The 24403-nt window shown below is 42.7% G+C and overlaps 1 protein-coding gene and 1 pseudogene across 1 annotated transcript in view, besides 1 other annotated feature; one reads left to right on the forward strand and one right to left on the reverse strand.

The window, feature by feature from the left end:
- The window catches only part of FAM186A (family with sequence similarity 186 member A), a 69301-nt gene that overhangs the window by 30381 nt on the left and 14517 nt on the right, over positions 1-24403 (reverse strand). Inside the window, exons 2-3 of the mRNA NM_001145475.3 lie at positions 5456-5675; positions 3067-3237 (exon numbers count right to left, since the gene is read on the reverse strand). Coding sequence (NP_001138947.1) covers positions 3067-3237; positions 5456-5675 — 391 coding nt within the window. The remainder of the gene's footprint in view (positions 1-3066; positions 3238-5455; positions 5676-24403) is intronic.
- RPL26P33 (ribosomal protein L26 pseudogene 33) lies at positions 7921-8441 on the forward strand (annotated as a pseudogene).
- Positions 22184-22384: a silencer, noted in NCBI's record as "peak1729 fragment used in MPRA reporter construct". NCBI's record gives its function as "represses an SCP1 promoter by STARR-seq MPRAs in K562 erythroleukemia cells {active_cell/tissue: K562}" and the evidence as "EXISTENCE:reporter gene assay evidence [ECO:0000049][PMID:32103011]".

Consider the following 24403-nt stretch of genomic DNA (forward strand, 5'->3'; position numbering starts at 1 on the left):
CCGAACCTCAGTAACAAACAGGGAAAGTTTGCAAACTTGGAGTCGCGTCCATCCTCAACCGCCAGATCCATGGCCTGGAACTTCTACCAGAGTGAGGCAGGCTGTGGGGACTGACAACTCTACTGCCTACAGGGATGATTTGACTTGGAGCAAAGCCTGGAAAAGCCCATGCCTAGTGGCATTGTCGGCTGAGGCAGGAGAATCGCTGAACCCAGGAGGCAGACATTGCAGTGAGTCGAGATCACGCCACTGCACTCCAGCCTGGGTGACGGAGTGAGACTGTCTCATAAATAAATAAATAAATAAATAAATAAATGAAAAGAAATCATACAAAGTATGTTTCCCAATTGCAATGGAATCTACATATATATAAGGATTATATATAATGTCATACTAATTCTTCTGCCTCTCTTATTGAACCCTGAGTGATACGAGTTCTTAGTACAATACTAAAATCATGATTCATAAAAAAAAATTGATACATTTATTGGATTTCATCAACATTAAACACTTTTAGGCTTCAAAAACACCACTAAGAAAATGAAAAGACAAGTCATAGGCAGGGAGAAAATATTTGCAAATCACTTTTCTGATAAAGGACTTATATCCAGCGAGGTGTGGTGACTCATGCCTATAATCCCAGAACTTTGGGAGGCTGAGGCAGGAGGATCGTTTGAGCTCAGGAGTTTGAGACTAGCCTGGACAACACGATGAGACTCTGTCTCTACAAAAAGTTTTTAAAAATTAGCTGGGTGTGGTAGCACACACCTGTAGTCCCAGCTACTCAGGAGACTGAGGCAGGAGGATCCCTTGAGCCCAGGAATTCCAGGCGGCAGTGTACTATTATTGTACCAATGCACCCCAGCTTGGACGACAGAGCAAAATCCTGTCAAAAACAAAACAAAACAAAACAAAAACCTATATCCAGAAGCTGTAAAGAAATGTTAAAACTCGGCCAGGCGCAGTGGCTCATGCCTATAATCCCAGCACTTTGGGAGGCCGAGGAGGGTGGATCACGAGGTCAGGAGTTCAAGATCAGCCTGGCCAAGATGGTGAAATTCCATCTCTACTAAAAATACAAAAATTAACCATGCGTGGTGGCATGCGCCTGTAATCCCAGCTACTCGGGAGGCTGAGGCAGGAGAATCGCTTGAACCCAGGAGGTGGAGGTTGTAGTGAGCTGAGATCACACCACTGCACTCCAACCTGGGCGACAGAGTAAGACTCTGTCTCAAAAAAAAAAAAAAAGTTAAAACTCAATTTCAAAAATGGGCAAGTACTTGAATAGATATTTCACCAAAAAATGTATGGAAATAGCTTAATAAGCACATGAAACATGCTCAGCATCATTTGCCATTAGGAAAATGCAAACTAAAACCACAATGAGATACCACTTCACAGGTACTAGGATGGCCATAATAAAAAAAAAGACAGACAGAGGCCGGGTGCCTGTAATCCCAGCACTTTGGGAGGCAGAGGCGGGTGGATCACCTGAGGTCAGGAGTTTGAGACCAGCCTGACCAACATGGAGAAACCCCATCTCCACTAAAAATACAAAATTAGCAGGGCGTGGTGACACGTGCCTGTAATCCCAGCTGCTAGGGAGGCTGAGGCAGGAGAATCACTTGAACCCGGGAGGTGGAGGTTGCAGTGAGCTGAGATCACACCACTGCACTCCAGCCTGGGCAACAAGAGTGAAACTCCGTCTCAAAAAAAAAGACAGACAATAACAAGTGTTGTTGAGGAAATGGAGAAATTGGAACCTGTGTACATTGCTGATGAGAGTGTAAAATGGTACAGTCACTTTGGAAAACAGTTAAGAGTTTCTTTAAAAGTTAAACATAAACTTACCATATGTCCTAGCAATTCGACTCCTAGCTATCTACCCCCCCAAAAAAAATGGGTAAATAATGGCATTATTTATAAAAGCCCCAAAGTGGAAACAATTCATATGTATATCAACTGGTGAATGGGTAAACAAAATGTGGTATATCCAAACAACTGTGTAAACTAACAATGAAAAGAAATTACCAAAATGCCCTATAACATGGCTGAATTTCAAAAACATTATGCTAGTTGAAAGAAAATAGACAGAAAATACCACAATACAATATGATTCTGTTTGTGTGAAATATCCAGATAAAACAAATGTAGTGTGAGAGAGAATACATTAGTGACTGTGTGGTGCTGCTGATGGGTAAAAGGACTGACTATAAATTAGTATGAGGGATCTTTTCGGGATAATGGAAATGTTCTAAAATTAGATTGTTGGCCGGGTGCTGTGACTCACACCTGTAATCCCAGCACTTTGGGAGGCCAAGGCTGGTGGATCATTTGAGGTCAGGAGTTTGAAACCAGTCTGGCCAACATGGTAAAATCCCTGTCTCTACAAAAAGTACAAAAAATTAGCCAGGCGTGGTGGCAGGTGCCTGTAATCCCAGCTACTCGGGGAGCTGAGGCACAAGAATCGCTTGAACCCAAGAGGTGGAGGTTGCAGTGAACTGAGATCTGGCCACTGCACTCCAGCCTGGGTAACAGTGTGATACCCTGTCTCAAAAAAAAAAAAAAAAAATTAATAAATAAATTTAAAATAAATAAAAATAAAATTAGATTGTGGTGATAAATGCACAACTCTGTAAATACACAGAAAATCATTTAATTGTACACTTAACATGTATGCACATTATACCTCAATAAAGCTGTTTTTTTTTTTGGCTGGGTGCAGTGGCTCACGCCTGTAATCCCAGCACTTTGGAAGGCCGAGGCAGGTGGATAACTTGAGGTCAGGAATTTGAGACTAGCCTGGCCAACATGGTGAAACCCTGTCTCTACTAAAAATACAAAAATTAGCCAGGCGTGGTGGTACACGTCTGTAGTTCCAGCTACTCTGGAGGCTGAGGCAGGAGAATCACCTGAAACCTGGAGGTGGAGGTTGCATTGAACTGAGATCAGGCCACTGCACACCAGCCTGGGTGATAGAGCGAGACTGAAAAAAAAAAAAGTTGTTTCTCTAAGAAAAAGTCAAACTCCATCTACTCCAACTCCAAAATCATAAAGCACCCTTACATATTTTTTTCTTTTGTTTCTTCTTTTCGTCGAGGAAAGATGTACTAAATCTGCTTAGTATCTTGACATTGTTCTCAATAGCTTTTAACGTGTCCGGTAACAACTCCATTTGTGCTATCCAGTGGTGGTGTTCATCAACATCCATTAGAGTCATCTCAGACAAAACATCATCTTGAAGAGAGTAAAAAAAAAATCATTTTTGTGCAGAAAAATAAATAACTATAGCTACATAGGCTTATAATATTGGGTAACTACTCAATACAGTAATATTGGGGAATATAGGTATCTCACACTTACTGCCATTCTGAGGCTTTTCTCTATGAAGAAATTAAAAAGGAAGAAACTTGGAATAGAAGGCTAAATAGTAAGTCTTAGACATAAAGACATGAATCAGATTAAAAAGTGTCTATTTGGTTTGGTACCTAAAATGTGTGTGTGTGTGTTTTGTTTTGTTTTGTTTTGAGACAGAGTCTTGCTTTGTTGCCTAGGCTGGAGTGCGGAGGCGCAATCTCCACTCACTGCAACCTCTGCCTCCCAGGTTCAAGCGATTCTCCTGCCTCAGCCTCCCGAGTAGCTGGGATTACAGGCATGTGCCGCCATGCCCAGCTAATTTTTGTATTTTTAGTAAAGACGGGGTTTCACCATGTTGGCCAGGCTGGTCTTGAACTCCTGACCTCAGGTGATCTGCCCGCCTCAGCCTCCCAAAGTGCTGGGATTACAGGCATGAGCCACCACACCCGGCCTATGTGTGTGTGTTTTAATATTGGAGATCTAAGCCCCAATTAACTCATTTGGCAAGTTTATCCAGTTGTCTTTTTTTTTTTTTTTTTTTTAAGAACGAGTCTGGCTCTGTCACCCAGGCTGGAGTGCAGTGGTGCAATCTCAGCTCAGTGCAACCTCTACCTCCCAGGTTCAAGCGATTCTCCTGCCTCAGCCTCCCTAGTAGCTGGGACCAGAGGTGTGTGCCACCACACCCAGCTAATTTTTGAATTTTTAGTAGAGATGGAGTTTCACCATGTTGGCCAGGCTGGTCTCAAACTCCTGACCTGGGGTGATCTGCCAGCCTCGGCCTCCCAAAGTGCTGGGATTACCAGCATGAGCCACCGCGCCCGGCCATTATCCAGTATTTCTAACCCTCGCTGCATGAAATTTCTAGCAACAAAATAAAATTCCCTTTTTTGATATTCTTAGTTTATTCATTCTTTTTGTTGTTGTTGTTGTTTTTGTTGTTGTTTTGGAGACAGTCTCACTCTGTCACCCAGGCTGGAGTGCAGTGGCACGACCTTGGCTCACTGCAATCTCCACCTCCCGGGTTCAAACAGTACACCTGCCTCAGCCTCCCGAGTAGCTGGGAATAGAGGCATATGCCGCCACACCCAGCTAATTTTTTGTATTTTAGTAGAGACGAGGTTTCACCGTGTTGCCCAGGCTGGTCTTGAACTCCTGAGCTCAGGCAATCCACCTGCCTTGGCCTCCCAAAGTGCTAGGATTACAGGCGTGAGCCACCGCACCTGGCCAGTTTATTCATTCTTTCATTCAACCAGTGTCTACTCTGACGTGTGCTATTCTAGATGCTGTGGATACAACATTAAGTAAAACAAGTTCCCTAACTTCATACTGCTTACCTTCTGGTGAAAGGAGAGAGAGAAAAGGTTAATTATATAGGAAGTCAGATACTAATGCTATAGACAAAAATAAAGAAAGGTAGGCCAGGCGCAGTGGCTCATGCCTGTAATCCCAGCACTTTGGGAAGCCAAGGCAGGTGGATCATTTGAGGTAGGAGTTCAAGACCAGCCTGGCCAACATGGTGAAACCTTGTCTCTACTAAAAATACAAAAATTAGCCGGGCGTGGTGCTGCATGCCTCTGGTCCCAGCTACTAGGGAGGCTGAGGCAGGAGAATCGCTTGAGCCTGGGAGGCGGGAGTTGCCTTGAGCTGAGATCGCGCCACTGCACTCCAGTCTGGGTAACACAGTGAGAACCTGTCTCAAAAAAAAAAAAAAAAAAAAAAAGGGTAAAGTGTAAGGAAAAGTGCCAGGTGGTAGGGAATGGGGATGGTCAGAGAACATCTCATTTTAAAGTGGAATTTAAGCAGGGAATGAGCCATGTGTCCATCTGGTGGAAGATGCTCCAGATAAGGGAATAGTATGCATAAAAACACGGCTGGCATGCTTTAAAAAAAGCAAGGAGGCCAGCATAGCTGGCACTAAGTGAATAAGCCTATATTTTTCCTATTTTATTCCTACTGGAATAGAGGATAACCATTCTCTGAATAACCTCCTTAGTCTTTTCTTCTTTAATCTGATTAATCCTTCAAAATTTACTTATATATTCTCTTCTCTTTTTCATTAACTTTATGGTTTTCCTCTGAACCGCTTCTGTAAACTTACTCCATTCTTCCAACCAGGCCAGAATGTTGGCAAGAGTCTTTTCTCTTATTTCAATAGTCTTAGCGTAAGTAGCCATTTTCTCAAGAAAATTGGTTCTCTGTTTTTTCTTATGTTCTGTAAGGGAGACATTCCTTTCAGAGGACGAGTTAAAAACAAGAGTATAGCGAGTCATTATCCGATGCACATTGTTCATTATTTCACTCAGCTGCATATCAATGTCCTGTCAGAATAAGAAGGGGGCATGTATTAATCTTCAGTTTGAAAAGAAGCTTTGGTCATCTTTCTTCTCAGAACGTCAGTGACAGTTAATTTAAAGCTATCCAATTAAAGTCTTGCTAATTCTAGCTTTTATTGTGAGTCTCAAATTTTCCCTCTTAAAAAAAAATTCCTTTTTCTGCCTTCATCATCCTAGCAATGCTATGATATAATGGAAAGAGCATTGGGTTTGAAGCCATATCTGGATCTTAACTCTAGGTCTTTCATTAAAATGACTTTTAATAAATCACGGCATGTCTGAGCTCCCTCTGCCGCCTCTGTAAAATGATGGAGATACTAAATACACAGTTGATGTGAAGTGTATAAAATTTGTGAAAGTGCTTTATAAGCTGTAGCTGCTAAAAAAAAAAAAGAAAGAAAGAAAGAAAAAGAAAACAGAAAAAAATGCAAGTTGCTTCTTTTTTCCTTTCTTACCTGGAAAGCAGTTATCAGACTATGCCTCAAACATACTTTTCTTTCATTATCTCCTTTGCTCAAGAATCTTACCACTTATTAGCTTAGTACATTGAGTATATGGGGAAGAGAAAGAATTTTATCAGCAAATCTCTTTTCTTCACTCTATCCTAGAAATTTTTTACGGATGTAATTACTACCTCATATATGGCACTTGGAAATTTGTGAAATCATTTTTGGTTGTCATAATAATTGTGAGGATGGACTACTGGCATTTAGTAGAGGGTACTAAGGAATGCTAGCCCACCCTACAGTGCAGTGGACAGTATCACACAGTGAAGAACTGTCTCAAATCCTGTGTGACTTTTGTGTGTCTCACCGGAATTCATGTAGGAAAAAAAAAATCTGTTTATAATTATCCAAGTCTTAAACCAAACTCCTTTTAAAATATAAACACAAGGCTGGGTGCGGTGGCTCACGCCTGTAATCCCAGCACTTTGGGAGGCTGAGGAGGGCAGATCGCGAGGTCAGGAGATCGAGACCATCCTGGCCAACACGGTGAAACCCTGTCTCTCCTAAAAAAAAATACAAAAAATTAGCTGGGCGTGGTGGCGGGTGCCTGTAGTCCCAGCTACTGGGGAGGCTGAGGCAGGAGAATAGCATGAACCCGGGAGGTGGAGCTTACAGTGAGCCGAGATCACGCCACTGCACTCCAGCCTAGGCGACAGAGCAAGACACTGTCTAAAAATAAATAAATAAATAAATAAAATAAAAATAAAAATAAAATAATATAAAATATAAACACAGACCAAGAGCAGTGTCTCACGCCTGTAATCCAAGTGCTTTGGGAGACCAAAGCGGGAGGATCTCTGGAAGCCATGCATTCAAGACCAGCCTGGGTGACAAAGTGAGATCCTGCCTCTAAAAAATAAAATTTTTTTTGGCCAGGCATGGTGGCTCATGCCTGTAATCCCAGCACTCTGGGAGGCCGAGGTGGGTGGATCACCTGAGGTCAGGAGTTCGAGACCAGCCTGGCCAGCATGGTGAAACCCCGTCTTTACTAAAAATACAAAAAATAGCCAGGCATTGTGGTGGATGCCTGTGATTCCAGCTACTCAGGAAGCTGAGGCAGGAGAATGTCTTGAACCCAGGAGGTAAAGGTTGCAGTGAGCCGAGATCGCACCATTGCACTCCAGCCTGGGCAACAAGAGTGAAACTCCGTCTCAAAAAAAAAAAAAAAAAAATTAACACCATGTGTTTTTTGCCCAATTTAATGATACACTGCAATTTCCAGGAATACAAATACTACGTAAATCAATAAAAAAATGTTCTTTAAAATTTCTCCAAGAAAATTTCACCATTCTGGAACACCACAATACCAACAGCAATGCACTAGTGATAATAGTATTTAGTGCCAGTACAATAAAACTGAATTTGTATCAGCCTCCATTTGTGTCTTTCATATTTATTTTAATTTTATGTATCAATGCAAGCCTCGGTCTACTTCTAGTGAAGTTTGACCTAGGATTTACACACTGAAATGCATGTTATTATAAATTGCTTTCCTTTTACTTATACTCACACATATTAATTTTTAAAGTATAGGTAGTTTATCTGTGAATATCATTTTAGAGGAATAAAGAGAATGTTAAAAATATTTTTTAAAGGCACAGTAAATCTGACAGTTAAGAACCACTGGTTCACCCCTTCCAACTTTATTATTCTTTCATTTTGGCTTCAGACAAACTGAACTTTCTCTACAGTCCGTATAATAAGAGTAAGATAAGTGTGTAGTTCTCTTCCCTTTTGCCGCCATCTCCAAAGCCGGAGTGGCCAAAATGAAGTTCAGTCCCTTTGTGACTTCCGACTGAAGCAAGAATCACAAAAGGCATTTCAATACACCTTCCCACATTCGCAGGAAGATTATGTCTTCCCCTCTTTCCGAAGAGCTGAGACAGAAGTACAACATGTGATCCGTGCCCATCTGAAAGAATGATGAAGTTCAGGTTGTATGAGGACACCATAAAGGTCAGCAAATTGGCAAAGTAGTCCAGGTTTACAGGAAGAAATATATTATCTACATTGAACGGGTGCAGTGGAAAAAGGCTAATGGCACAACTGTCCATGTGGGCCCTCGCCCCAGCAAGGTGGGTATCACTAGGCTAAAACTGGACAAAGACCGCAAAAAGATCCTTGAACAGAAAGCCAAATCTCGCCAAGTAGGAAAGGAAAAGAGCAAATACAAGGAAGAAACAATTGAGAAGATGTAGGAATAAAGTAATCTTATATACGAGCTTTGATTAATACTTGAAACAAAAAAAAAAGAATAAGATTTGGATTTTGCCAAACAAATCATCATGCAAAATGAGTATTCTGATGTTAGGTGTATTTGCTGTTACAGCAAATAATAATTTAAGTCAGGAACACAGGTGAGCCAAGGCAAAGTTTGCTAAACCAAATGATGAAGAATAACATTACAAGCTAACACATAGCACAGTGAACAAAGAAAAGATACTACTAACTCCTCATAAATTCTCCCAGAAAAGTGAAGAGGAAGAAACACTTCCCAACTCATCCTTTGAGGCCAACGTATATCGAAGCCAGACAAAGGCACTACAAAATAAGAAAACTAAATACAAACATGCCTGATGAATATTGATACAGAAAACCTTAGCAAAATACTAGTGAACAGAATTCAACAGCATGTTAAAGGGATTATACACCACGATCAAGTGAGATTTATTTCTGGAATGCAAGGATGATTAAATATATGTAAATCAATCAATGCAATGTGCCAAATGAATAGAATGACCAAAAAAAAAAAAAAAAAAAAAACGTGATCATCACAATTGATACAGAAAAAGCATTTGAAAATATTTAACACCCTTTCATTATTAAAAAAAAAAAATACACAAGAGGCTGGGCACAGTAGCTCACGCCTGTAATCCCAGCACTTTGAGAGGCCAAGGCAGAAGTTTCACTTGAGTCCAGGAGTTCGAGACCAGCCTGAGCAACATGGTGAAACCCTGGCTCTACAAAAAATAAAAAATATCAGCCAGGTATGGTGGTGTGTGCTTATAGTTACAGCTAGTCAGGAGGCTGAGGTGGGAGGATTACTTGAACCTGGGAGGTCAAGGCTGCAGTAAGCCATGATTATGCCACTGCACTCCAGCCTTGGTGACAGAGTGAGCCCCGGTCTTAACACAAACAAAAAACATATACAAAAGAAACTAGAAATAGAAGAAAACTTCTTCAACATAATAAAGGCCATATACGAAAAGCCCACAGGTTATAATATATTCAACAGTGAAAGACTGAAAGTTTTTCCTCCAAGATTAGGAACAAGGCAAGGATGCCCACATTCACCATCTATCTAACCTGGTATTGGAAGTCCTAGACAATCAGGCAAGAAAAAGAAATAAAGGCCAGACACGGTGCCTCACGCCTGTAATCCTAGCACTTTGGGAGGCCGAGGCAGGCGGATCATGAGGTCAGGAGATCGAGACCATCCTGGCTAACACTGTGAAACCCCGTCTCTACTAAAAATACAAAAAAATAGCTGGGCATGGTGGCAGGTGCCTGTAGTCCCAGCTACTCGGGAGGCTGAGGCAGGAGAATGGCGTGAACCTGGGAGGCAGAGCTTGCATGAGCTGAGACTGTGCCACTGCACTCCAGCCTGGGAGACAGAGCGAGACTCTGTCTCAAAAAAAAAAAAAAAAAAAGAAAAGAAATAAAAGGCACACAATTTGGAAAGGAAAAAGTAAAATTATCTCTGTTCATAGATAACATGATCTTAAATTGTAGAAACCCTACATATGTAGAAAACTCTATATATGTAGAAAGCCCTAAGGATTACCCTCTGTGTGCATGTGCGTGCACACACACACACACACACACACAAACACACTATTAGAACAATAAATTCAGCAAAGTTGCAGGGTAAAACATACATACAAATCAGTCACTTTGCTAACTACACTAACACTGAGCAATATGAAAAAGAAATTAAGAAAACAATGCCATTTATAATAGCATCAAAAATAATAATATATTTAGAAATCGCAGCTCATGCCTGTAATCCCAGCACTTTGGAAGGCCGAGGCGGGTGGATCACCTGAGGTTGGGAGTTCAAGACCAGCCTGGCCAACATGGTGAAACCCTGTGTCTACAAAAATACAAAAATTATTCAGCTATGATGGTGGGTGTTTGTAATCCCAGCTACTCAGGAGGCTGAGGTGGGAGAATCACTTGAACCTGGGAGGCAGAGGTTGCAGTGAGCTGAGATCACGCCACTACACTCCAGCCTGGGTAACAGAGAGCGACTCTGTCTCAAAAATAATAATATTGAGAGGCCGAGACAGGTGGATCACTTGAGGTCAGGAGTTCGTGACAAGCCTGGCCAACATGGTGAAACCCCATCTTTACTAGAAATACAAAAATTAGCCAGCATGGTGGTGGGCATTTATAATCCCAGCTACTCAGGAGGCTGAGGCAGGAGAATTTCTTCACCCGGGAGGTGGATCCTGTAGTGAGCCATGATTGCGCCACTGCATTCCAGCCTGGGCAACAGAGCAAGACTCTGTCTCAAAAATAAATAAATAAATATTTTAAATAATAATAATAAATTTAGAAATAAACTTACCCAAGGAGGTAAAAGACTTGTTGTTTTCACTACAAAATGTTACTGAGAGAAATTAAAGAAAACACAAGTAAATGGAAAGATATCACATGTTTATGGATTGGAATATTTAATATTGTTAAGATGTCAATACTACCCAAACCAATCTACAGATTAATGCAATCCCTATCAAAATCCCAATGGCTTTTTTTTCTTTTGCAGCAATAGAAAAATTCATCCTAAAATTTACATGGAATCTCAAGGGATCCTGAATGGCTGAAACAATCTTGAAAAAGAATAACAAAGTTGGAGATCCCACATTTTCTGATTTCAAACTTATTCCAAAGCTACATTAATCAAAATAATGTGGTACAGGCATAACGACAGACATATAACCTGATGGAATAGAATAGAGAGCCCATAAATAAACACCAAGTTAACAGTATGTGTATAGTATAGTATATTCATAGCATAAGGTTAAATTATTTTCCATAAGGATTCTAAGGCCATCCAATGAGGAAAGGACAGTCTTTTAAAAAAAAAAAAAACACACACAAATGTTGGTGGGAAAACTGAATACCTACACATGAAAGAATGAAGTTGGATCCTTATCTTATATCATATAAAAAATTAAACTCAAAATAGATTAAAGACCTAACACTTATAAAACACTTAGAAGAAAACATAGGAGAAAGGCTTCATGGCATTGGATTTGGCAATGATTTCTTGGTGACATGACACAAAATCACATGCAACAAAAGTAAAAATAGATAAATGGGCTGGGCACGGTGGCTCACTCCTGTAATCCCAGCACTCTGGGAGGCTGAGGCAGGCGGATCACGAGGTCAGGAGATCGGACCATCCTGGCTAACATGGTGAAACCCCGTCTCTACTAAAAATACAAAAAAAATTAGCCAGGCATGGTGGTGGGCGCCTGTAGACCCAACTACTCGGGAGGCTGAGGCAGGAGAATTACTTGAACCCGGGAGGCAGAGGTTGCAGTGAGCTGAGATCGAGCCACTGCACTCCAGCCTCAGCCTGGGCGACAGAGTGAGACTCCGTCTCAAAAAAAAAAAAAAAAAAGATAAATGGACTATATCAAAGTTAAAAACATTTGTTTGTCAAAGGACAAAAATCAACAGATTGAAAAGTCAACCTAGGAAATGGGAGAAAATATTTGCAAATTGTATATCCACTAAGGGTTAATATCCACAATATATAAATAACTTGTACAAACTCAATGTCAAAAAAAGAAAAACCAAAAAACCCAAATAGGCTGTGCACTGGTGGCTCACCCCTATAATCCCAGGACTTTGGGAGGCTGAGGTGGACAGATCAGTTGAAGTCAGGAGTTTGAGACCAGCCTGGCCAACACTGTGAAACCCCATCCCTACTAAAAATGCAAAATTTAGGCCGGGCGCGGTGGCTCACGCCTGTAATCCCAGCACTTTGGGAGGCCGAGGAGGGTGGATCATGAGGTCAGGAGATCGAGACCATCCTGACTAACACAGTGAAACCCCGTCTCTACTAAAAATACAAAAAATTAGCCGGGCGTGGTGGTGGGCGCCTGTAGTCCCAGCTACTCGGGAGGCTGAGGCAGGAGAATGGCGTGAACCCGGGAGGCGGAGCTTGCAGTGAGCAGAGATTGCACCACTGCACCCCAGCCTGGGCGACAGAGCGAGACTCCATCTCAAAAAAAAAAAAAAAAAAAAAAAAGCAAAACTTAGCCAGGCATGGTGGCACACTCCTGTAATCCCAGCTACTTGGGTGGCTGAGGCACAAGAATCACTTGAGCCTGGGAGGTAGAGGTTGCAGTGAGCCGAGATTGTGCCACTGCATTCCATCCTAGGCGACAGAGTGACACTCCATACCCCCCAAAAAACAAAAACAAAAACCCAAATAAACCAATTTTAAAATGGGCAAAGGATCCAAAAAAGATATACAAATGGCCCAAAAATATATGAAAATATGTTCAACGTAACTAGTAATTAGGAAAATGTAAATCAAAACCACAATGATATACTACTTCATACCCATTAAGATGGCTACTATGAAAAAAACAGAAAATAACAAGTGTGGGTGAGGCTGTGCAAAATTGGAACCCTGTGCACTGCTGGTAGGAATGTAATATTGTGCAGCTGCTGTGAAGAAAAGGATGACAGTTCCTCCAGATATTAAAAATAGTATCACTATATGATCTAGCAATTGTTCTCTGTGTATACATCCAAAAGAATTATAAGCAGGGTCCCTAAGAAATATTTGTACACTCATGCTCATAGTGTCGTTATTCACAATAACCAAGAGGTAGAAGTAACCCAAGTGCCCATTGACAGATAAATGGATAAACAAAATGTGGTATATATTTATATATATACACAATGGAGGCCAGGCACAGTGACTCATGCCTGTAATCCCGGCACTTTGGGAGGCTGAGGTGGGCAGGTCACTTGAGGTCAGGGGTTTGAGACCACGCTGGCCAACACGATGAAACCTCACGTTGCACTAAAAAACACAAAAATTAGCCAGGCATGGTGGCGGGTGCCTGTAATCCCAGCTACTTGGGAGACTGAGGCAGAAGAATCGCTTGAACCCAGGAGATGGAGGTTACAGTGAGCCAAGATTGCACCACAGCACTCCAGCCTGAGCAACAGAGCGAGACTTCATCTCAAAAAAATAAAATTTAATTCAATTTAATTTTTTTTTTTGAGGCAGAATCTTACTCTGTCACCTAGGCTAGAGTGCAGTGGCATGATCTCGGCTGACTGCAAACTCCACCTCAGGGTTCAAGTGATTCTCCTGCCTCAGCCTCCAGAGTAGCTGGGGTTACAGGCGCCTGCCTCCATGCCCAGCTAATTTTTGTATTTTTTAGTAGAGACGGGGTTTCACCATCTTGGCCAGGCTGGTCTTGAACTCCTGACCTCATGATCCATCTGCCTCTGCCTCCCAAAGTGTTAGGATTACAGGCGTGAGCCACCGTGCCCGGCCAACTTAATTTAATTTTAAAATATACATAATAGAATGTTATTCAGCCTTAAAATTGAAGGATATTTTGACATACACTACAATATGGATGAACCTTGAACAGACTATGCTGAGTGAATAAGCCAGTCATAAAAAGACAAATACTTTATGATTCCACTTAAATGAGGTATCTAGAATAGTTGAATTCATAGAAACTAAGTACAGTTGTGGTTTTTAGGGGATAAGGAGAAAGGGAAATGGATATTGTTGTTTAATGGATATAGAACTTCAGTTTTGAAAGGTGAAATAGTTCTGACTTTGGTTGCAAAATAATGTATGGCAATATATATTCACACTTAAAACTATTGTACTATATACTTAAAAATAATTAAGGCAGTAAATTTTATGTATATTTTACCACAATTAATTTTTTTTTTTAGACGGAGTTTCGCTCTTATTGCCCAGGTTGGAGTGCAATGGCATGATCTTGGCTCACGGCAACATCGGCCTCCTGGGTTCAAGCGATTCTCCTGCCTCAGCCTCCCAAGTAGCTGGGATTACAGGCATGCGCCACAATACCCAGTTAATTTTGTATTTTTAGTAGAGACGGGGTTTCACCATGTTGGTCAGGCTGGTCTCAAACTCCTAACCTCAGGTGATCCACCTGCCTTGGCCTCCCAAAGTGCTGGGATTACAGGCGTGAGCCATCGTGGCTGGCCCAATTAATTTTTTTTTTAATTTAAAAAGGAATAATCAAACGTTAAGTATGGAAATACTGGAATCAGAAAAAGAGGTGATGCAGTTGTAGCAAATCTAACTTAAGTCAAGAACACAGGAGACGGGAGACAAAGTTGGCCAAGCCAAGTGATAAAGAATAACATCACAACTAATACATAGTATGGTGGTTAAGAAATAAATACGCCAGGTGCAGTGGCTCAAGCCTGTAATCCCAGCACTTTGGAAGGCCAAGGAGGGTGGATCATGAGGTCAGGCGTTCAAGACCAGCCTGGGCAACATAGTGAAACCCCCGTCTCTACTAAAAATACAAAAAATTAGCCGGGCATGGTGGTGGGCACCTGTAATCCCAGCTACTTGGGAGGCTGAGACAGGAGAATTGCTTGAACCTGGGAGGCAGAGGTTGCAGTGAGCCAAGATTGTGTCACTGCATGCCAGCCCGGGCGACAGTGTGAGACTCTGTCTCAAAAAAAAAAAAAGAAATAATACTAGGCCGGGCACGGTGGTTCACATCTGTAATCCCAGCACTTTGGGAGGCCGAGGCGGGTGGATCACTTGAGGTCAGGAGTTGGAGACTGACCTGCCCAAGATGGTGAAACCCCATCTCTACTAAAAATACAAAAAATTAGCTGGGCATATTGGTGGGTGACTGTAATCCCAGGTACTTGGGAGTATGAGGCAGAGAATTGCTTGAACCCCGGAGGCAGAGGTTACTGTGAGCCGAGATGGTGCCACTGCACTCCAGTCTCCTGGGCGACAGAGCAAGACTCCGTCTAAAAAAAAAAAAAAAGAAAAAAGAAAGAAAGAAGGAAGGAAGGAAGGAGGAAGGAGGGAGGGAGGGAGGGACGGAGGGAGGAAGGAAGGAAGGAATGAAAGAAAGAAAGAAAGAAAGAAAGAAAGAAAGAAAGAAAGAAAGAAAGAAAGAAAGAAAGAAAGAAAGAAAGAAAGAGAAAAGAAAGAAAGAAAGAAAAGAAAGAAAGAAAAACTAGGCTGGGCAACGGTGGCTCACACCTGTAATCCCAGCAGTTTAGGAGGCCGAGGTGGGCATATCACGAGGTCAGGAATTCAAGACCAGCCTGGCCCACATAGTGAAACCCCGTCTCTACTGAAAATGCAAAAATTAGCCGGGTGTGGTGGCACGCACCTGTAGTCCCAGCTTCTTGGTAGGCTGAGGCAGGAGAACTGCTCAAACCCGGCAGGCAGAGGTTGCAGTGAGCCGAGACCACACCATTGCACTCCAGCCTGGATGACAGAGTAAGACTCCATCTCAAAAAAACAAAACAGAAAAAGAAATAATACTAATAGCTCACAAACTTTTCCAAAAAGTTGAAGAGGAAGGAGCAATTCCTGACTCATTCTTTGATGTCAGCGTTACCCTGATATCAAAATCAGACAGATGTAAAAGAAGAAAACTACAAACCAATATCCCTCACCTCATGAAAATAGTCACAAAAAATGCTTCATAAGATTTTCATACCATCTCACACCAGTTAGAATGGCAATCATTTAAAAGTCAGGAAACAATAGGTGCTGGAGAGGATGTGGAGAAATAGGAACACTTTTACACTGTTGGTGGGACTGTAAACTAGTTCAACCATTGTGGAAATCAGTGTGGCCATTCCTCAGGGATCTAGAACTAGAAATACCATTTGACCCAGCCATCCCATTACTGGGTATATACCCAAGGGATTATAAATCATGCTGCTATAAAGACACATGCACACGTATGTTTATTGCAGCATTATTCACAATAGCAAAGACTTGGAACCAACCCAAATGTCCAACAATGATAGACTGGATTAAGAAAATGTGGCACATATACACCATGGAATACTATGCAGCCATAAAAAATGATGAGTTCATGTCCTTTATAAGGACATGGATGAAATTGGAAATCATCATTCTCAGTAAACTATCGCAAGAACAAAAAACCAAACACCGCATATTCTCACTCATAGGTGGGAACTGAACAATGAGAACACATGGACACAGGAAGGGGAACATCACACTCTGGGGACTGTTGTGGGGTGGGGGGAGGGGGGAGGGATAGCACTGGGAGATACACCTAATGCTAGATGACGAGTTAGTGGGTGCAGCGCACCAGCATGGCACATGTATACATATGTAACTAACCTGCACATTGTGCACATGTACCCTAAAACTTAAAGTATAATAATAATAAAGAAAGAAAGAAAGAAAGTTCTAAATAAAAATCTTTATAGAAATTAAAAAAAAAAGATTTTCAAAAATTCTGGGACAGATAGGTGACCAATAAAATAAAATAGAAAATAGAAACAAACAATATCCTTAAAAAATAGCATCATGAAAAAGTGGGATTTACCCTGGTATGCAAGGCTGATTCAAAATTTGATAATTTCTAAATGTAACTCACTATGTCAACGGATTAAAGAAGAACCATTTATCGCCTCGGTATATACAGAAAAAGAAGTTGACAAAATTCAACATTCATTCATGATTTCTAAAAGAAGCTCGATAATAAATGAGGAATAGAGGGTAATTTCCTCAACCTGATAAAGAGCATTTACAAAACATTTACAGCTAGCATCATACTTAATGGTAAACGTCTCAAGTGCTCTAAAGGTTCTGTTCTAATCACTTCTGCTCAACATTGGATAAATGTCCTAACCAATTCAATAAGGTCAAAAAAAGAAATACAGGAAAATGGATTGGAAAGAGAGAAGCAACATGGTTTCTATTTACAACAAAAAGTTTGTCCATGTAAAAACTCCCAAAGAATTTACCAAAGAGGCCAGGAGCAGTGTCTCACACCTGTAATCCCAGCACTTTGGGAGGCCAAGGCTGGCAGGTCACTTGAGTACAGAAGTTCAGGACCAGACTGGCCAACATGACGAAACTCCCTTTCTATCAAAAATACAAAAATTAGCCGGGCGTGGTGGCATGTGCCTGTAGTCCCATCTACCTGGGAGGCTGAGGCATGAGAATCGCTTGAACCCAGGAGGCAGAGGTTGCAGTGAGCCAAGATCGCTTCTCTGCACTCCAGCCTGGGCCACAGAGTGACACTCCATCTCAAAAAATAAATAAATAAATACAAATAAAATAAAACAAACCAAAAACCATTTATTTACACTAGCGATATACAATTACAAACTGAAATTTGGCCGAGTGTGGTGGCTCATGCCTGTAATCCCAGCAATTTGGGAGGCCAAGGTGGGTGGATCACCTGAGGTCAGGAGTTTGAGGCCAGCCTGGCCAACATGGTGAAACCCTGTCTCGACTAAAAATACAAAAAATTAGCCAGACATGTTGGCACACACCTATAATCCCAGCTACTTAGGAGGATGAGGCAAAAGAATTGCTTGAACCCGGGAGGCAGAGGTTGCAGCGAGCCGAGATTGCACCATTGCACTCCAACCTGGGCAACAAGAGCGAAGCTCTGTCTCAAAAAAAAAAAAAAAAAAGTAGCCAGGTATGGTGGTGCATACCTGTAATCTCAGCTAATCGGGAGGCTGAGGCAGGAGAATCGCCTGAACCTGGGAGGCAGAGATTGCAGTGAGCCGAGATTGTGCCACTGCACTCTAGCCTGGGTGACAGAGGGAGACTCCATCTCAAAAAAAAAAAGAAAAAGAAAAAGAAAAAGAAATTGAAATTTAATAAAACAGTGTCACAGGATCCTATGGGTGTCACTTTGCCAGCCAGAAACCTCTGTGGCCAGCGACGCCTCTGCTTGAGTTTTGCTCATGCCCACTGGGCTCATTCCACCTACTAGGCCCAGCAAGCTGCCCTCAGATCGTGATACCGGCCCGGATCCCATGCCTGCCAAGGGTGAGCCAGGCATGGAGCACCGAGGGGTGTGTGAGCAAGCAAGTGCAGGGTCTGGCCACTGTGCACCCCCACTGTAGCAGCAGGGCAGGCATCTCCAGGTGCTGGCACAAGCACTGGCTCTGGGAGAGGCTGTGGCTGGACCAGACATACCACAAGCAGGTTCTGCTGCAGGCACCAGTGTCTGGATGAGGGAAACTCAGTGGTGCCCAAAAGCTCAGAGGTCTGGGCCCTCAGAAGGATCACCACTTTTCACTCACACGGTCCGGGGGCATGTCACAACCCATAGCTCAGTGAGCAAGCTGGGGATGTGTTACAGCTCTTTTAGCTCCTGCTGTTCAGTCCCAAGTTCCTGTCTCATGTCTAGGAAGAATGAGTTTACATGGACAACTGAAGGGTGAGCAAGGTGGAGAGGAGCTTTACTGAGCAACAGAAGAGCTCTCAGCAGAGAGGATACCTGAAGTGAGTAGCTCCTATCCGCAGGCAAGTCATCCCAACAAGGGTAGAGGAGACTTGAAGTGGGTAGCTGCTATCCAAAGGCAGGTAGGCCTGATGAGTATAGGCCACTCAAAGTGGATAGCTTCTGTCTGCAGGCAGGTAGTCCCTAGGAGTCTCTGAGTCTGGCTAAGTCTGGGGTTTTTATGGGCTCAAAAGGGAGGAAGTGCATGCTGACTGGTCCATGAGCAGCCATGGTGGGCCTGGTAAAAGTACCATCTGATCGGCCAAAAGGCATCAAGGAAGTTCTCACTCTGGTCCTGGACTCCACCCTAAACTGGCAATGTGGGTCAAACCTCCTTTTACCTCTCTCTCTCTCTCTCTTTTTTTTTTTTTAGACAAGGTCTTATTCTGTTGCCCAGGCTGGAGTTCAGTGATGCAGTCACAGCTCACTGCAGCCTAGGACTCCTGGGCTCAAGAGATCCTTCCTCCTTCACCTCCCAAGTAGCTGGGACTACAGACGAGTGCCACCATGGTCAGCTAATTATTTTTTATTTTTATTTTTTTTAGAGATGGGATCTCACTGTGTTGCTCAAGCTGGTCTGAAACTCCTGGGCTCAAATGGTCCTCCCACCTCAGCCTCATGAGTGCTTGGGATTATAGGCATGAGCCACTGCACCCAGCAGAACTGTGTTTAAAGATGCACAATTTAAAGGGGCAATCTTCTGGAAGTGGAAAAAACACAAGGTTGGAAGAAACACCATTTGGCAATTAGGTAGTAAAAAGGGGGAAAAAAGAACTACAATCATCAGGACAGTATGGTATTGGTGTAATGACGGACAAATACATGAATGGAATAGAATAGAGTGTTTAGAAAAGGACTCACATACATGTGGTCAATTAATTTTTGACAGAGGTGCAAATGCAACTCAGTAGAGAAAGGACAGTCTTTTTAACAAGTGGTGTTCAAATAATTGAATATCCACAAACCAGAAGTGAAAAACAAGCTTTTATTCATATCTTGCACAATATTTCAAAAATTTAGTCAAATGAATCTATGAGCTAAATATAAAATTTAACACTATAAAACTTCTAGAAGAAAACATGGGAGAAAATACGAACTTGGGTTAAGGCAATGATTTCTTTGATATGATAACGAAGGCACAACCAATGAAAGTACAACACAAGGCCAGGCGCAGTGGCTCACGCCTGTAATCCTAGCACTTTGGGAGGCCGAGGCAGGTGGATCACCTGAGGTCAGGAGTTGGAGACCAGCCTAGCCAACATGGTGAAACCCTGTCTCTACTAAAAATACAAAAATTAGCCGGGCGTGGTGGCTGGCACCTATAATCCCAGCTACTTAGAAGGCTGAGGAAAGAGAATTGCTTGAACCCGGTGGGGGCAGAAGTTTCAGTGAGCCAAGATCGTGCCACTTCACTCCAGCCCGGGCAAAAGAGCAAAACTCCACCTCAAAAAAAAAAAAACAAGAAAAGAAAGAAAGTACAACATGATACATTAGATTTCACAAAAATGTAAGACTTCTGCAATATGAAAGATACTGTTAAGAAAATGAAAAGTCGGCGAGGCGAGGTGGCTCATGCCTGCTCATCCCAGCACTTTGGGCGGCCAAGGCAGGTGGATCACCTGAGGTCGGGAATTTGAGACCAGGCTGACCAACATGGAAAAACCCTGTCTCTACTAAAAATACAAAATTAGCCGGCGTGGTGGCCACATGCCTGTAATCCCAGCTACTCTGGAGGCTGAGGTAAGAGAATTGCTTGAACCGGGAGGCGGAGGTTGCAGTGAGCCGAGATTGCGACATTACACTCCAGCCTCGACAACAAGAGCGAAACTCCATCTCAAAAAAAAAAAAGAAAATGAAGTCAGCCGAGCACGGTGGCTCACGCCTGTAATCCCAACACTTTGGGAGGCCGAGGTGGGTGGATCACGAGGTCAGAAGTTCAAGACCAGCCTGGCCAAGATGGTGAAACCCTGTCTCTACTAAAAAGTACAAAAATTAGCCAGGTGCAGTGGCAGGCGCCTGTAATCCCAGCTACTCGGGAGGCTGAGGCAGGAGAATCGTTTGAACCCCAGGAGCAGAGGAAACAGTGAGCCGAGATTTCACCACTGCACTCCAGCCGGGGAGACAGAGTGAGACTCCATCTCAAAATATATATATACATATATGTAAATTGTATATATATATATATACACATATGTAAATTGTATATATATATATACACATATGTAAATTGTATATATATATATATACACATACATATATATACACACACACATATATATATAAAATTAAATTAAAAAAAAGAAAATGAAAAGTCAAGCCACAATCTGGGAATAAATATTTACAAATCATATCACTAGTGGGAATACAAATTGGCACAACTATTCTGGAAGAAAATGTGTCAGTGCTTAAAAGAACTTCAGGTACACTTAAATTTTAACCCAGCAATCCCATTTCTAGGAATATACCTTGGAGGTACAGCTTCAACCATATGAAAATGTCTATGTGTAAGGTTACTTTCTGCAGCATTGTTTGTAATTATGAAGTATTGGAAATAACTTAAATGTCCATACATAGGAAAGTGGTTGAATTAACTATGGTATAACTGCACAATGGATTATTTAAAAGAATAAAGAAGGCTGGGTGCAGTGGCTCACGCCTGTAATCCCAGCACTTTGAGAGGCCGAGGCAGGCAGATCACCTGAGTTTAGGAGTTTGAGACCGGCCTGGCCAACATGATGAAACCCCATCTCTACTAAAAATACAAAAATTGGGCCGGGCACGGTGGCTCACGCCTGTAATCCCAGCACTTTGGGAGGCCGAGGTGGGTGGATCATAAGGTCAGGAGATCGAGACCCTCCTACCTAACATGGTGAAACCCCGTCTCTACTAAAAATACAAAAAATTAGCCGAATGTGGTGGTGGGCGCCTGTAGTCCCAGCTACTCGGGAGGCTGAGGCAGGAGAATGGCATGAACCCAGGAGGCGGAGCTTGCAGTGAGCCAAGATAGTGCCACGGCACTCCAGCCTGGTCAACAGAGCGAGACTCCCTCTCAAAAAAAAAAAGAAAGAAAAAAAGAGGGAAAAACAAAAACAAAAACAAAAAAAAACTAAAGCACAGGCCGGGCTCAGTGGCTGATGCCTGTAATCCCATCACTTTGGGAGACCGAGGCACGTGGATCACCTGAGGTCGGGAGTTAGAGACCAGCCTGATCAACATGGAGAAACCCCATCTCTATTAAAAATACAAAAGTAGCCGGGCGTAGTGGAGCATGCCTGTAATCCCAGCTACTTGGGAGGCTGAGGCAGGAGAATCGCTTGAACCCGGGAGGCAGAGGTTGCAGTGAGCCAAGATCGCGCCATTGCACTCCAGCCTGGGCAACAAGAGCAAAACTCCATCTCAAAAAAAAAAAGTAAAGCACAAAAGAATATAGCTATTGTATGTTACCCTTCATGTAAGAAAAAATGAGAAATGAAAAATTATGCATGAATCTACTCATTTGTGCAAAATAAATACAAGAAGGATAAGCCAGAGGCTAGACAGATTGGTTACATATAGGGTGTATGTGGGGAAAAGGTGGAAAGAAAGAAGGAATGACAATAGGGTAGCAAAGATAAGAAAGGAGTGACATTTTTCTGCATGTAGCTCTGACTTTTATCAGCACAGTAATGTTTCACATACATACCTTTCATATACTCGATAATAAACTGTTAAAACCAACCTGTATTTGGGCTGACCCAAAATGGAATATGAATACTAACAACTGAAATTAAGTGTATACAAATGAATAACATAACTTCACTTAGAAGAAGATAAATAGGTAGCAACTTTGAAAACAGTATATTGAGTGGACAATGTAAGGTTAAATATAAAACAATGGTACATAAATGCAGTGCTACTTAATAAATGTCCTTCTTATATGCTTATGGATTAGTAATTCTGAAATTACATTATGTGTGTACTGGAAATCAACTAATAAATATATTGTATATAATAAGAACTGGTGTTGTTCGGGTGCGGTGGCTCACGTCTGTAATCCCTGCACTTTGGGAGACTGAGGCTGGTGGATCACCTGAGGTCAGGAGTTCGAGACCGGCCTGGCCAACATGATGAAACCCTGTCTCTACTAAAAATACAAAAAAAAAAAAAAAAAAAAAAAAATTAGCTGGGCATGCTGGTGCATGCCTGTAATCCCAGCTACTCAGGAGGCTGAGGCAAGAGAATCGCTTGAACCTGGGAGGTGGAGGTTGCAGTGAGCTGAGATCATGCCACTGCATTCCAGCCTGGGTGACAGAGTGAGACTGTCTAAAAAAAAAAAAAAGAACTGGTGTGATGGGATATTTGGGGTGTCGCTTTTCTGGCCAGAAACCCCTGTGGCCAACTTTTGCCCAAGTTTTGCTCAGGCCCACTGGGCTCCTTTCGCCCATTCAGCATTGCAGGCTGCACTCAGCTCATGCTACTGGCCTGGATCCCATGCCTGCCAAGGGTGAGCCAGGCATGGAGTGGCGAGGGGTATGTGAGCAAGTGAGCATTGGGCCCGGCCACTGTGCACATCCAGGCATGCCACCTGTGGCAGGGTGGGCATCTCCAGGCACAGGCACAGTGCCGACTCCCTGTGAGGCTGTGGCTGGACCAGGCATACTGCAAGCAGCTTCCACAGCTAGCACCAGGCAATGTGGTGGCACCCAGAAGCTTGGAGACACCAGGAACCACAGAGCCCCAAAGAGGGTGTCGCAGCCCTGGCTTAGGGAGTTTCTAGGTCTGGGCTCCCCGAAGGGCCACAGCTCTTCTCTTTCTCTCTTCTTTCCTTCTCTCTACTCTCCTTCTTGTCACCTGCAACATGGCAAGCAAGGGGCGTGTTTCAGCCCTGTTTGTGTTATAGCTCTTTCAGTCCCACCATTCGGCAGGTCCCAAGTTCTTGTCTTGCATTCAGAAAGAATGAGCTATGCAGACAAGTGGAGGGTGAGCAAGGTGAAGAGGTGCTTTATTGAGTGACAGAACAGCTCAGAGGAGACCCTCAGTGGGTAGCTCCTCTCCACAGGTAGCTCATCCCAATGAGTGTCCAGCTGTCAGCAGAGAGGAGACCCACAGTGGGTAGCAGTGGGCCAAGGTTGCACCACTGCACTCCAGCCTGGACAACAGAGCAAGATTCTGTCTCAAAAAAAAATTGATTAATTAATTAATTAAATGTAATGAAGAGATGGAAAGATATTCTGTGTAAATGGAAACCAAAAAAGAACAGGAGCAGCTATACTTATATAACCGAACATAAACTTTAAGTCAAAAACTAATAGAGCCAGGCAGGTTTACATGATTGTAATCTTGGAAATTTGGAAGGCCAAGGTGGGAAGATCACTTGAGGACAGGAGTTTGAGAACAGCCTGGGCAATATTGCAAGACCCTGTCTCTATAAAAAATTAAAAAATTAGCCAGCATGGTGGCTTGTACCTGTAAGTCCCAGCTACTGAAGGGGCTGAGGTGGGAGAATCACCTGAGCCCAGGAAGTTGAGGCTGCTGTGAGCCATGATCGTGCCACTGCACTCCAGCATGGGTGACAAGGAGAAAACCATCCAGGTCAAAGGGCACCAAATATGAGGCAAACAGAAATCAAGCATCCCCTTTTGAGTAGGGAGTGGGGAAGAAGTTCTTGGAAAGTTGGTGATTTGGGGTTAGTCCCTAAAAACCACTTTAGGATTTCTCTGCTCTG

Source organism: Homo sapiens, chromosome 12 (assembly GCF_000001405.40).
Source record: "Homo sapiens chromosome 12, GRCh38.p14 Primary Assembly".
NCBI classification, from domain to species: Eukaryota; Metazoa; Chordata; class Mammalia; order Primates; family Hominidae; genus Homo; species Homo sapiens.